This window comes from Homo sapiens, chromosome 6 (assembly GCF_000001405.40).
Source record: "Homo sapiens chromosome 6, GRCh38.p14 Primary Assembly".
NCBI classification, from domain to species: Eukaryota; Metazoa; Chordata; class Mammalia; order Primates; family Hominidae; genus Homo; species Homo sapiens.
The window spans coordinates 101398170-101412610 of record NC_000006.12 but is presented as its reverse complement, the minus strand read 5'-3'; the positions used below and the strand labels follow the sequence as shown (position 1 = coordinate 101412610).

The 14441-nt window shown below is 40.0% G+C and overlaps 1 protein-coding gene across 7 annotated transcripts in view, besides 1 other annotated feature; it reads right to left on the bottom strand.

The window, feature by feature from the left end:
* The window catches only part of GRIK2 (glutamate ionotropic receptor kainate type subunit 2), a 676376-nt gene that overhangs the window by 657473 nt on the left and 4462 nt on the right, over window positions 1–14441 (bottom strand). For all 7 annotated transcript variants that reach the window (XM_047418681.1, NM_021956.5, XM_047418682.1 and 4 more), the window contains one exon: window positions 13219–13626. In XM_047418681.1, coding sequence (XP_047274637.1) covers window positions 13219–13333 — 115 coding nt within the window. In that variant the 5' untranslated portion in view covers window positions 13334–13626. Of the gene's footprint in view, window positions 1–13218; window positions 13627–14441 lie in introns of those variants that run through there.
* Window positions 13241–14125: an enhancer, noted in NCBI's record as "H3K4me1 hESC enhancer chr6:101846362-101847246 (GRCh37/hg19 assembly coordinates)". NCBI's record gives its function as "activates a minimal SCP1, AML or CMV promoter by ChIP-STARR-seq in primed H9 embryonic stem cells {active_cell/tissue: H9 hESC(primed)}" and the evidence as "EXISTENCE:reporter gene assay evidence [ECO:0000049][PMID:30033119]".

The window sequence follows — 14441 nt, the reverse complement described above, 5'->3', positions numbered from 1 at the left end:
ACATATTGCTAAACATAGCTGAGTCCAAAAAGAAAGCTTCTGAGAAATAATGAAGTTAACTTGAGTTTTTTCTTCAATATTTATCTTAAAATTTCCATTAGCATGTGATTATCATGATATTAATACTTTGGAATCTCTATCCAACCTATAATCATGCTACTTTTAAATCATACTGTCAGTAAAGTGTCTCCTATACAGAAGTCTGTATCTAGATGGCAAGTTTAATTATAGGAATATATTTAACAAACGTATGTGTTTCACCGAGGAGGCAATCAATACAGAAAACACTTAGATATCAATAATTTAGACAGATAAAAACCATTTTTATTTCAATACTAAATCAGTATATGCAATTATTAACAATTTATCTACCTAAAACAAATATATAAGAATATTCTGGTTTAATTCCAAATGTAGTGTCCACATTTTATGTCTCAGCACCATGATGTAACAAAGGTCCAGAGAGTATAATCAGAGCATTAGGGATGGGAATGGGGGTGCCATGGTATTGTCCAAGAGATTTCCATGTTTTCTAATAAATACCATCTAGGCTGGACATTATTTTCAGCCTAGATTCTGGACCATTAGGATGTATTCATGGCAACTGAAAAGTTGGAATCCTCTCAACTACAGCAAATGTCTGCTGGAGTTCTTTTTCTAAGTCTGGGAAAACAAAGTTTTAAAATAATCTATTAGGGGATCCTTTAGTGTGGGAGATTGAGAGAGGAAAGTCTCACAACCATACATCATATTAGACATTATTTATAAAACAACACCTGTTTAAGATCCCTTTGGGCTATGGGGTTGGTTGTGTGGATATAAATATTCTAAATGATTAGGTTTTAAAGAATAAGCCCTTGAGTGGTGTTCTGAGAGTCCAACACTCTGTGTTCTGTGAAGAATTATAAAATATCTAAGCCCCAACTGTTATCTACAACATTTACTCATTGTTTTTCATCATCTAGACATGATTATCAACTGCTAATTCCGAAAGCTGATGCCGCTGCTCATTATAAATAGAAGAATCATAAACTTAAAGGTCAAAAACTTCTTAGGATTATCTAGCACAGTGTGTGAGATCTTTATTTTGTTTAAGTACAGTTACTTTGGTAAAATAAATAAAGGGACTAAGAACCACCACATAGAACTATGCAGTTATGCACTTGTAACATGCTAACTAAATCTAGTAACATATTAAACTATAGAATTTCTAGGTTTGGGGACCAGACATTTAAATTATGTAAAGCCCCTTTCCTCTGATATAAAGTTTGAGAACCACTGATTAGATCAAATTATCTTGTCAATGTTTGAATTTATTCTGCAGAATGCCTATCTAAAACATATCTTTGCAGGAGGCAAAACTTGAATTAGATTTTGAAAGATAGTTGATACATGGAAGAGCAAAAGAAAGAGAAATGAATTTAAGGGAACAAGCTGAAGATGAATCATTGGAAGATCACCCCTAATCTCCAGGAAGTCTTCCTGAGTGATCAACCCAGAATCCTTAGGGAAAGATGAAAGAATGGGACACCTTTCTTCACCCATTAGAGGCAAAAATTCAAAAATATTCTTCATATATTCCAACATCCGCTCTGCATCATGGGAAGGCTGTTTCCAGAAACACAAAAACTAGACTTGAGCTTAAGCTAGGAGATTGTTTTTCAAACTGTGCTTAGTCTAGTTGCCCTTCAGATAAACGTAAAAATCTTGAGACTGATTGTCCTCCACCTTACCCTTGACAGTTGCAAATTACTGATTAAAAACTAAGTATCTTCAACAGTCAGGCAATTTTCCCAATAAACTTTACATTTTTTTAACTTTGACTTTAGGTTCAGGGGTACATGTGCAGGCTTGTAATACAGGTAAATTGCATGTCGCTGGGATTTTGTGTACAGAGTATTTATACATTGAAGTTTAAAATTTTTTAATTTTGCAAATATAAAATTGTATTTAAGTTCAATACACCTTTTCAAATGGTCCTGTGGATTCTCTGGCATGGTACCACTGCTCAAGGAGGTGTAGGTTGTCCTCTCTTGTCTCTCCCTAGACACTTCTATGCTGATCCCCCAACACTGGGCTAGATCTTTTTTTTTAAGTCAGTTTAGAGGACACTTAAGGAAGAATGCTGAGGTTAGTGGTCTAGGGGTGGTACCAAAATCTGTTCTACCTTAAAAAGTAAGCACCAGAAAAATTGCCTAAGCAGCCAATATAACAACTGGAAAGTCCCATACATCCATCTCAAACAACTGTAGCAAATCCAAGTGTTTATGAAACTTTCCTGAATCAACACAAATGGATCAAAGATAGTTATTTATATGTTTGCAAACCTTGAAATAACTAAAAGTTCATCATAGGCAGATGCATAAAGAATGATGTATATATAAAAATCAGAAAATACTTGTGTAGGTAAACTAGAACAATATACTTATGAAAAAGTGAAAAAAATTTAAACCACAGAACTTGGCATGATTTCTTTGTTCATTATTTGTTTTCAGTTTTGGTTTGTTTCTTCTGATGTTGTATATATTTGAGAACACCAATTAAAGTCATGATGTTTAAGGAAGAAAAAGAAACTACAGACTTACTCTTCTATCAAGTAACTAAATCAGAAGTTTGTTCTATTAGTTAATAAATCCTTACCAACCTATTTGTAATAATTGAGGTATATTTCAAGGAAGATTTTTAATGAATAATTTAGAAAAGCTGATTTTCTTAAATATACACAGTTTAAGAAGTTAGATACAATATTCATGAGTGATAATAAATATTATTTTATTCCACACATACACAGTAAATAAACAATTTTTTTTCAACTCTAAAAGGCCTTTTCTGCTAATAAACTCAGAGCTCTACACATTTTCCTATTAAATCCAACATTATCTATTATCCTTGGAAGTTAAACAGGTAGCAAATAATACTCATTCTTCAGACAGGAAAGTCAAGGGCCAGAAAGATTTACTTATTTTTCCTAATTTATGAATATTAGATGACAAAATCAAGAGTAAAATTCATGACCCAAACAACTAAATTCACGGTCTAACATCCTGAGTTTGTGTAGAATCAGAAAATATTACTAAAAATAAATCTATTCTACTAAAGTTGTCTTAACTTTTAATTCTATTTATTTTAAATTCTGATTTTAAATAATTGATAGACATATTATGTATATACATTCATGAGTGCTTAACAACAGGAATACATTCTTAGAAATGCATCGTTAGGTGATTTCATCATTGTGTGAACATCACAGAGTGTACTTACCCAAACCTAAATGGTATAGCCTACTATATACCTAGGCTATATGTTACAGCCAATTGCTCCTAGGCTGCAAACCTGTCTAGTATGTTACTCTGCTGGATATGGCAGGCAATCAGAACACAATGGTAAATATTTGTGTATCTAAACATTTCTACACAGAATATATACAGTAAAAATATGGTATTATAATCTTAACTGTACACACACACACACACACACACACACACACACACACACACACACATACACAATGTTTCAGGTAATAGAAATGTCTTGGAACTAAACATAAAACATTGAGAATTCCTTGGGGGCAATTTACTGTATCCCTCAAAGATGTATATAGTACTTGTAAATTGTTCTCTAATGCATTTTCCTTAAGATTAATTGGTAACTTTTCCTTGCTTAATCATTTGATCTGGCCATGTCTTAAGAAGACATTCCTTTATTTCCTTTCAGAATTTTGCTTTGGAATTATCTGGGTGATGTTTAATTTTATATGTCAACTTGATTAGGCCGTGGGTGCCTAATGGGGTGCCCAGCCATTTGGTCAAACAATTTGGGTGTGTCTGTGAGGGTGTTCTGGTATGAAATTAGCATCTGAATCAGTAAAATAGTAGATGGAGCAAAGAAGATTGCCCTCCGTAATGTGGGTGGGTTTCATCCGCTCAGTTGAATGCCTGAATAGAGTGAAAAGACTGACCCTCCTGAGAAAAAAAGGGAATTCCTCCTGCCTCACTGCCTTCAAGCCTGGGTTTTCTTTTTCTTTTTTTCTTCATGCCTTTGGGTTCAAAATGAAACACTGAATCTTCCTGGACCTCAAGTCTGCTGGTCTTCAGGCTAGAATTATACCACTGGGTCTCTAGCTTTCCAACTGCAGATCTTAGGACTTCTTAGCATCCATAATACCATAATCATGTAAGCCAATTACTTATAATAAATACCCACACCCTCCTCTTCTCTCTCTCTCTCTCTCTCTCACTTCCTCCCTGCTGCATGTGTGTATGTGTGTTTTCTATTTCTCTGGAGAATTTTGACTAACATAATCTTTGATCTGAGCTCAAGAACTTCTTAAAGGTTTCAGTGATCAAGGACCAAGATGTGTCTTTTGCTTCCATTTCAGTAAGAGAAAGAAGATCCACTTATTCTTCATAAAATGTAAGCAACACACTGCAAAATCATTTGACTGCTTATTGCACACCATGTCAAGCCCATCCTCTATTTTCAATTGCTTTCCAGTGGCTACACACAGTAGTCTAAACCCTGTAACCTAAATATTAAAGCTCTGAAAAATCAAGGCCTTATCTATGCCCCTTCAGTGCTAGCCCATTATCTGTCCCAACACTCATTTTCTTAATTTATGCCTAAATTCCTTTTCTTGTGCTGAGTCTTCCACCAATGATACATTTCCCCCTTCTTTCTACCACACAATGTTTTCAGGCACCAGCCAGAATCCTATCTCTTCTGGAAAAACTTAAGCCCGCAATAATCTCATTTAAACAACTATTGTATATATTTTCTGTACCATACAATTGGTACTTTAATATGTACATATCTTTTCTCTTTAACTGGATTACACAATCCTTAATATCAGAAGCTAAGTCTTAGAATTCTGTTTTCCAAATGCCTGCCACATAATATGTGCTCACTTTAATATTGTTGAATGAATGGATGCAGCAAAAGCTTTGACACTGAGTAAAGGAACAAGTAAGCAGGTATGCAAGAGGCTGATAGAGCTACACATTAAGGAAAAAAAAAGAGAAAAGAGCAATAACCCATGAGATAATGTACTAGGAAAGAAAAGGTAAAGGAAACAAAGTAGACACATTTCTAGGGGAGCTACCAGATTTCTTTCTAAAATGGATTCAAAGCACAGGGAGTCAGAGGCTACACTGAAAAAAACAGCAAAATTCAGTTTTTTGAATTTTGGCAGCCAGGGTAATCATGTTTTGGTATAAAATCTGACATTAATTGCAATTTAGAACAAGCTATTTAACTGTCCTTGGCAATTCACCTCTAAACTTAAGACTCTAAACGTGGGGACCTTTGAGTTCCCCTTTAGCTTAGATAATCCAGGATTCTATAGTTTTCATTCATTTTGAGAGAGTTCCCATTTCATTTCTTCTGGGGAAGGAAGGACCCGAATGTACTAAAATCTATGATGAATTGAATGCAGGAAGCTTCAGAAAGTAAAGGGAGAGGTAAGAAAGGAAGGATTAAATGACAACATAAAATAGACCAAATAGCTATGAATATACTGAAATTTCAGAAGCAGAACATTACTTTAATATTTGTTTTGTTTATTTGATCATGTTAGCACAATATTCTCATTGTGCTAGGTCAAGGACTTAGACTGAGACTGAGCTGGAGACACAAATGAGAGCTAGAGGCAACATCTTCCAAATTCTTACTTTAGTTTAATAATAGAAAAGTAGCTAATTGATTGAAAAGGAGGTAAAAAGCATTAAAAATCATTTTGATTGGAGAAAATGTCAATGTAAGAATATAATTTACATCTTATTTAAAATAATCACTTATGCTAAAAGATTTGGATTAATACAAGCAAAATATCAATTTACAAAGCATTGGGATGTCTGGCGGTAAATTTGAAAAAGACTGTGTATCAAATGTCATTTAACTTCTCTCTTTTCTCAGCCTCCCTTCCACACCCATGCTAATCACTCAGCACTCCCTTAGGCACCCAGTATTTTCTTCTGTATCTGAGCATCTCTGTCACAGACAGTATCGATCGATCCTAATAAACTCATCCTAACTCTACAGTCTTGAGACTATGTGTTCCTCTTCCAGAATATACTTGTCTTAAAATAAGGCCATGGAACAGGGCAATACTTAACCAAAAAGAAAGACTGATAGAAGTATATGTATCAGTAGAAAAAATAACTAAAAGACATACCCTCCCCAAACCCTTTCAGATCTTCACAAATGGCCCTGCTGTCTAGTGACCTTTCTACTAAATCCAGAAAAGAATTTTCAGTTTTTAGCTAAGAAAATAAAGAGTTTAAATTAATCTATAGGCAGAAACCTAAAAACCAAATACTATATCTGAATGCTGCTATCTTTGAAGAGGATTCTCAAAGCCCAAATGCAAAAGTAAAATTAAAAATTAAAAAAAAAATCCTGCAGAAAAGTTTTTAGAGTCTTTTCTAAACTCCCCACTCACTTTACCACAAATTAGTTTTATCAGGTTAGGTAACTGTCACTTTGAAAATACAAGAATATAACATAGTTTGCTTTAAGGGTGTGAGGCAAGAGGCAAATAAACCTTACTTATTTGGTGATCAAAGAGATGTGAGGGAAGCAGGTGTGCCTTAGAGGAACTGTGAAATGTGAATGGGCGAGAAGGTAAAAATGAGACCACATCCCCCCTCACCTGCTGTATGCTTTTGCTGTTTACAAATCTGAAGTTTAAAAGCTTTTTTCAAAATTGTATACAATTAAAATTTGGGAGATTTTTATACAAAAATTTGGTTTCATGTTATTCTAGAAATATCTAAGGAACTGACAACTCTGAGTCGGCAATGCCACATGGCAAGAAACAGGTGGAGTGAATAATCTCATATGTGACTGAGGCTTGACTTTCACCTTGGGACTGATTGTACTTCAATGTTCCCAATGTTAAGCAGTGATCTACCCTTTCTTCAGGGGCAGAAGGGACTTACTACATTGAAGTTTAATAATCTGAATATAGAAGTTTCAGCAAGAAAAAAGGTCAGGATTTTAAAAACAACCTAAAATAGATCAAATACCTATTACTCTATTGAAACTGCAGAAAGAATATTCCTTTATTGTCTCTGTGGTTTCTCTACTACTGACAAGCTTTCTTTATATGAAAAAATACCAACAATCAAATTTTAAAAGAAAAGTCAAATTTTCTTTCAGTTATAGAACATAGAGAATTTATCATCAACACTTACCCTTCAACACACTGTATATGCTCAATTTTAAATGCCTTTTTTTTTTCAAATGAGAAAGATCTATAATTCCATTTATTAAATCAGCTCTTAAAAATGTTTTATTATTGAAACTTGGTCCTAAACCTAGGTTCACAGTATATGATAAAGGTTTGAAGAAAGCTTATTTAACCTACATTAAATCTTGATAATGCATTAATGAGTCTTTTAAAGGGATAATTTTAATTCCCCAATCTTCAACCATAAAGACTATATAGTGCTAATCTGCCTTGCCCTTTCAATTAAACTTGTTAAGGGCGTTCTATTTAGTCAGCACCCTGAATGGACCATTAAAATTCTTGTTCGGTAAGAGTTGTGTTCTGTGCTCTGTTGTTTTAAATTCCATTAAATCCAAATGGTCTTTATCGCCCCATGACCGCTGTGACTTCAATCAGCCAATTTAATTACCTTACAAAATTGTCAGCAGAAGCAGCAAAGAAAAACAGGAAGCCCTATGATGTTATCAGATTGAAATCTTCCTCTTCAGTGTTTAATCTAGACTAGTCAATAATGATGATGTGCACCTACTTCCTTCCCTTTCAGGGGTTTCTGACCTCACTTTTCATGCTAAGATTTAGGGTAGAAGATTCAATTGAAGCACTTCTAACACTTTGATAACTGGACTACAAATTGAAAGCCCTTTGAAGCTAAACCTTCACTACCCAAATGAAAAACAATCAACACTTAAATTTCAATATATCATACCATCCTACTGAGGAAAATCAGGGATCTCCTGCAAGCCCTAAGTATTAAGCATGCAGTAGATTAATAATTTAAGTATGTTACATTTTAAAGACAGTAAACTAGTTTCTAATCTGATGTGCAAAAATGTGCACTGACAATTTCCAGGCAATAAATGTAATTGGGGCTACCATAACAAAGTCAAATCTTAATAACTGAAGGACAAAGTGAAGTAATTTCTCTCACCTGAACGTTTAATTTCTACCACAAAAGAGCAAGGCATTTTCTTTATCAGAAATTATGATAACTAAATGGCATGAAAGATTATGTCATTGTTATCATAGACAACACTTTATGTAATGGTGAGAAAACTTGAAAAGGCTTTGATAATCAATGATACATCATCGTTTGATCTATGGTATTTTCCTTCTTCGTGTGAGAGGAATTCACATTAACTTTCCCGTGCTGAGTAAATGTTGAAAGAGTGTCATCTGAGAATTTAAGGAATGAACACATCGTAATGATCACTTGCATTAAACCAAAAAGCAAAGCTAGTCTGAAGAAATGTCTACTGACGTATAAACCATGTTCGCTTCTGAAAGACAATCTCACAAAGCCAGAAAATGTGTTGAGTTTCATGTATCTGGGTAGAGAAAGCGTGCAATTTCTAGAAGACAAAAAGATCATTTTTCAAAGTCATTTTCTGAAATGATTGTGCCTCTTTTGATGGATCACATCAAGTTATTCTTTGAAGCTTTAAGAGTAAGTGAGAACTTATGAGAAAAACTGATTTTTTTAAAGTGTGATCGTTGTGTTGGCGATTCTTGGAATGATTTCTCTCCCTTGCATTCCACAGCTCAGCTAAGCAGGTGTTCAGGCTTTATCTGTTGCAGATAGTAGCCGCTATTACTCCCCCATCCCCGCCTCCCAAGAGTCAGTTTTCCTGCTTCCAGATGTAAGGCCACTCCTCCCTCCCGCCCACCTCACCTCTCAAAGGAGGAAAAATCTCTTTCAAAGAATTTGTAGAGTGGCGGCTTGTAAGCTCAGTCTCACTATTCGATGTTGCAGTACATCTGCTACTAATTATTGTATCTGTGAGCAAATGGGATGCCCAGCAAAATAACGGGATTTCCATAGGAACACTTTCTGTTCTCTCTCACGTTGATTTTATCCCACAACGTATAGGTGGTCCCTTAAACTGGCTGTGTTCACCTTCTTCGTGTACGCAAGGAGGTGACTGTGTGATTGCTGTCCCACAAACAGGTGGTCAGTGTGCAGTGCCAAAGAGACCCCAGCGCGTCTGGGAGGGAAGACTTCTGCTGGGAAACCTTTAAGAGAGCAGTTCCACTGGCTTGTCTTTAAGAGAAAAGTTAGGTCGAAACATCAGAAGGGAAGACATGGCCTACCATATGCTCAGCAATTCGGCAAGGAAACCTTGGAGATGGTGCCCAGGAGCCTAAGTTTGGGTTGATGTCTTTGCTACTGGAGCTCTAAATTCCAGTTCAGATAAAGATTTTGAATGAAAACCTGACCTTGAAGATCGGAAACAAGTGATAGCTTGGGGAGTGATTTCTTAAAAAGGATGCTTAAACATGTGAGGGCTCCCGAACGGTGAACCCTAGGCCAGCCGGGCACACAGCCGGAGCTGGCTTCTGAGCTCCCTCGCACTTCCGTACAGGCTGGGGTCAGTGCATGCCCGGAAGAGAAGGACCGGCTAAAGTAACAAAAGAAAGGTTCAATTACCTCCGCCGCCGCAGTTCAGCTTAGAGGCCGTGGAATTGGTCACACCCCCGCGGACGGAAGAGTCCCGCCTTCACCCTATCCTGGGGCGGGCAAGGCCGGGACGCAGCTGCGGCGAAACAAAGATGCCTCATTTACATACGCTGGGACGCGCTGGATGCCCTGTGCCCGCCGCGCCAGCGCTCTGGAGACGCCTGCCTGGGAGAGTCGCAGGCTCTGCTCCCAGAAAAGCCGGCCAGAGAACATCTGGCTCGACCTAGGGCAGGAGAACTGACTCTCTAAAATGCACCTTGCCCGCCGGGTGGGCACCCAGGAAAACCCAAGTTGTCCCAACACAGGATCAAAGGCGGGGTGACAACCAAGACTCAATGTCAGGGGCTCGCCCGCCTGCCTGGAGGTGACCCTTGGTTGACCCTCAGGTCGCTGCCATAGAGCCTCGGGGCAGCACCCTAGGGTCGGTGCTCCGGATACCTTTTCTCAGAGATGTTTGCTGAGCGGCTGCAGAGGAGCAGGCCAGCCTGTGCAGCCAAGTGGGAGTCGGCTGAGGCTGGAGGTTAAGGGGGAAACAGGACAGAGACGCTCCTGGGTGTAACTGCAAAGTTTTCTTGAGCACTAGAGAGACGTCACTGTGCCAAATGCACCCGGAGGGCGCATGTGTCTTAGTGCGCGCGAGCGCGTGTCTATGTTTGAGTGTGTGTGAGAGAATGTGTGTGTGTGTATGTGTGTGTTATTGTGTGTGCCATACAGAGAGGGAGAGGGAAGCGCGGGGAAGAGGGTTGCGCACGCTGAAGACGGGCGGGGGAGGCGAGGGACGTGGCAAGGGTTCAGCACTCTAAGCGGGGGCTGCCCCTCACCTCGCAGGAGGTGACAGGAGGACGCTGGGTCGAATCACAGTCCTAGCGGGAGCAAGGGGAAGGATAACACAGAGCCTTAACTAGCGGGGAAGGGGGGCTGGGGTGGCCGCCTGGGCGGGCTCCGCCGTTGCCATAGCGCCGCGGCGGAGGCGCCTGGCGGCTGCCGGCGCCTAGCCACGCCAAGGGTGGGGGATGGAAGGGACACTGGATGCTGCCTCCCCAGCAGAGGCGGCGGGTCTCTCCACCACTGGGGCAGCTGCGCCACGTGCAACTCCAAGCTCTTCCCTTCCAAGGCACGGGTCCAGGGCATGAGGCACTGGCTGGACTTTTGAGCCAAAGTTGAAAATAACCATTCTCAAGAGTGGCTTATACGTGCTCAACCAACCATCCAATCCACTCAGAACGTGTTTATCCCAGAAGAAAATAAAACTCCCACCATTACATCAAAATAGCCCCAACAGGGAAATGTTCCAGTAACAATGTACACAGTCCTTCTTCCCCACAACTTAGGTCAGAAATCAGAAGAAATGCATCTCCACGTGGAAGATGTTTTAAGTTAACGTAGAAAACAGCAGGTTATCTAGAAGCTGGACTGTTGGTTTAGGGTTGTCAAGGGACTAGTGTGGAGATCTTTGCCTACTACCGTATTTCTTAAAGACATTTTTAGTAAGCATTGGTCTAAGAAAGCTTGTTTGTGTGTGTGTATGTGTGTGCGTGTGTGTGCGTGTGTGTGAGAGAGAGAGCTCTTTTGGAAAGCTGCTACGCACTCTGCTACAGTCGCCAAGATTTTTAATATGAAGATATGAAATGATCAGCGAGTGTAACAATCTAGTGATTCAGCAAATATTGTGCTGCAAGACCAGAGCGGCAATAATTAAATCCTTAGAGTATTGGTGGCAGTTTTCCGGCTCCAAGTCTTCTTTTTTCCATCTAGTCGGCAAACACACTTAGTAACGCACACTCATTCACAAACACACTTCAGAATTCTTCAGGATTCCACATAATTAGGATGAAATACTCGAAATATTGGGCAAACTACCATACTGTAGCACTTACCATATTTGAAGCCTAACTGCTGAAAACACACACACAAAAAACACACATGCACACACACGCGTGTGCGTACACACACATTTCCAATGGTATACGGACCTGTTTAATCCTGTCCACAGAAACAATCATTCCTGTGGATGCTTGTTGCTAAGAGCAACGTGCTTAAGTACCATCTAAAGGCATGAAAAAAGCATGAAAACTACTACAGTGGGAATCCAGCTATAACCCAGTGCCTCTTTTATCATCAGCAGGCTTTTTGACTGTGGGCATCTATGTGTATGTGTGGTCGGTGAGGTTCCCTTTTTGAATGTATGTGAAACATCCCTACCTTTGTTCTACAAAGCCTAGGAGAGATGGTGAATTTTATCATTGGGGGGATAAAACACACACATGGTAAAATGGAAAGACAGGAGATGCTGTTGGCATGATAGAAGATGCAGGCAATCACTCTTCAGTTTAAATTTGACCGAGTGACTTAATGTGTCTGCTTTTATCTCAAAGACAGATGCTCAGGATTACATGGTGTCCTGCACTCTTTGGTCTGAATCCACTTGAACTGTCAGAGGAAGTGCCTACAATGGGAGCATTTATCCTGTTGGCTTTCTCCTTTCTTCCTCTTATCTGCTTTAGGGAACTTTCCCTGACTAGTTCTGCTCCTACTAAAACTCCTTTGGCCATCCAGAGAACCTGAGCATCGCCCACGCTTCATTTTCTCCAAGCAATCACTCTGACCCTCTGACCAGGGTTTCCACTGGAATCCCACGTTTAGATTTTCCTTCAAGCTCCAAAGAAACCCTGATTCTTAGAAAAGCAATACATTTCCATAAAAAAATGTAACTACCTAACGTCTTTCGTCTTGCCAAAGTGAAAGATGCAGACTTAGTCAACCCTCCTTAAACAACTACTCTTCCCCACCGCCCCAGATACTATCCTTCATTAATTAGTCCATAACGTCCAGAAAGCTGTGAGAGGGGGACTCAGCAAGTTAAAAACAAACAAAATGCCGTTCTAATTTTGACGCTATTTCGTTCCAGCTAAGTAGCAGCCTCCCTGTGTTAAGTAGAACCTCGAATCTTAGAACATTTTTTAAAGCTCTGCATCCCAGTAAGGGCACCAGGGACTGGAAAAGCGGTGAAAACAATCGAAAAGGCTCTCTGGAAAAAGAAATCAAAAGGGTTAGTACCTTTCATTTGCACGTGAGAACTGCCCTGGTCACTGGCGGAAGCGGACAGGCGCAACTCGCCAAAGAGTTACCAGGTGTTAACTCACCAGCCCCGCAAGCTGAGAGGCGTGCAGCCCCGGCGCGCACTTTTGCGCGGACCGCGCACCCCTCCAAGCTCGCAGGGCGCCGGGGGAGACAGGCGGGAGTGGCGGCTGACCGTGCCTCCATCGTCATCATCATCTCCGTGGCAAGCTACTGTGGGGAGGTAATGCAGAGACCACTACCACACATTGGCCCTCCCTTCACCCTCCCGCGGCTAAAAATAAAAATAAAGAAGAGAAGAAATGAAAGCACAAGGAGTTCTTTAAAAGCCCCAGGAGACGACAGAGCAGTGAGCAGATCAGAATCCACGGAGCCCACCGCCAGGCAGAGCGAACCGCCTGTTTACATCCGGCTGCCTGGGAGCGGATACCAGGCAACCAAGAGAGATGGGGAATCTTACCAAATCTTAATACATGTGTGGTTCCTTGAGAATATCCAATCCACAGTAAACAGAGCAGGAGTTTAACGGTGCGCCTGAAGACTGGATTACTTAGAATCGGGAAAATAATCTTCATGGTGTTTCTGTGCCCACACGCACGGCACCCACTTCCCCGATCTAGCGTTCGGCTCCTGGGTTCGGGTAGAAATGAGGATGCGTCGAGTGGTGACCGCAGACACGATCACGGCATGGTCATAGAGAGAGGAAGGAGTCTCCGCTTCCCAAACCCATTAGCAATCGCTGCATGTTCTTCACTCACTGCGCCAAGGAACAACCTTCCACTGCAAGGAATGGTGGGACATCCATGTTAGTCGGAGAGCATCCGGGAGAAATCCAGCACGCACACCCACAATGTCCGGCCGCGCGAGCCTGTGAAAGCAGAGGAGGAGGGAAATCAGTAGGAAACCCAGCCTTGGTAACGGACGAGATGTCGATAGCGAGCCACAGCCCGGCACAAAAGGCGCTTTGCTAGCAAAGGTTTTGCCAGGCCCTATTCTACTGCACTGCTGCACAGCTTCTGACGTGAAGCCAAGATTAAGTGAGAAAGACTGAGATAGCTGCTCTCCTCTTAAGGCTCCCGGCCAGTGAGCTCCCCAATATCTATTATGCAACCGATCTGACAGCCCGCCTTGAGTTGCAAGAAAGAAGTAGGATTTATTTATGGGGAGAACATTGCTTTTATTTTCCATGAGTATTTGCTGAGAGAATGACTGGTGTATGTAAGCGGACTTCTTACAATCAACTGATGAATTTCATTAAATTACTAGCTAAATCAAAGTCAGTTTGTCTGGGAACTGTAAAAAAGAAAGTGATCTAAGACGGAGGAATTTACTGCAAATCTAACTTGTGGTTAGATTGAAAGAGTCTTATTTATACTTTTATTTTGACCAGGAATGAATATAGATTGGAATGCAATTGGAGAGGTAAACCCACTCTTTAAAAACTTGACTGGGGTATTCCTTGATTGCTACCCAGAAGTAGGAGAAATTTCTTCAGTGAACTTTTATGGGAGAAATCTCAAATTAAAATGGAGAAGTTAAATTTTCCACCCATTTTTTAAGCTCAAAGAAAATAATTGTGCATATATAAAAACAATGATGTTTGAATGGGTGCAGCAAACTCTAAAGCCTTCAATAATTTATGCCCAAATTTCTTCGTATTTTGGTTTTTTGAACATTCTTTTT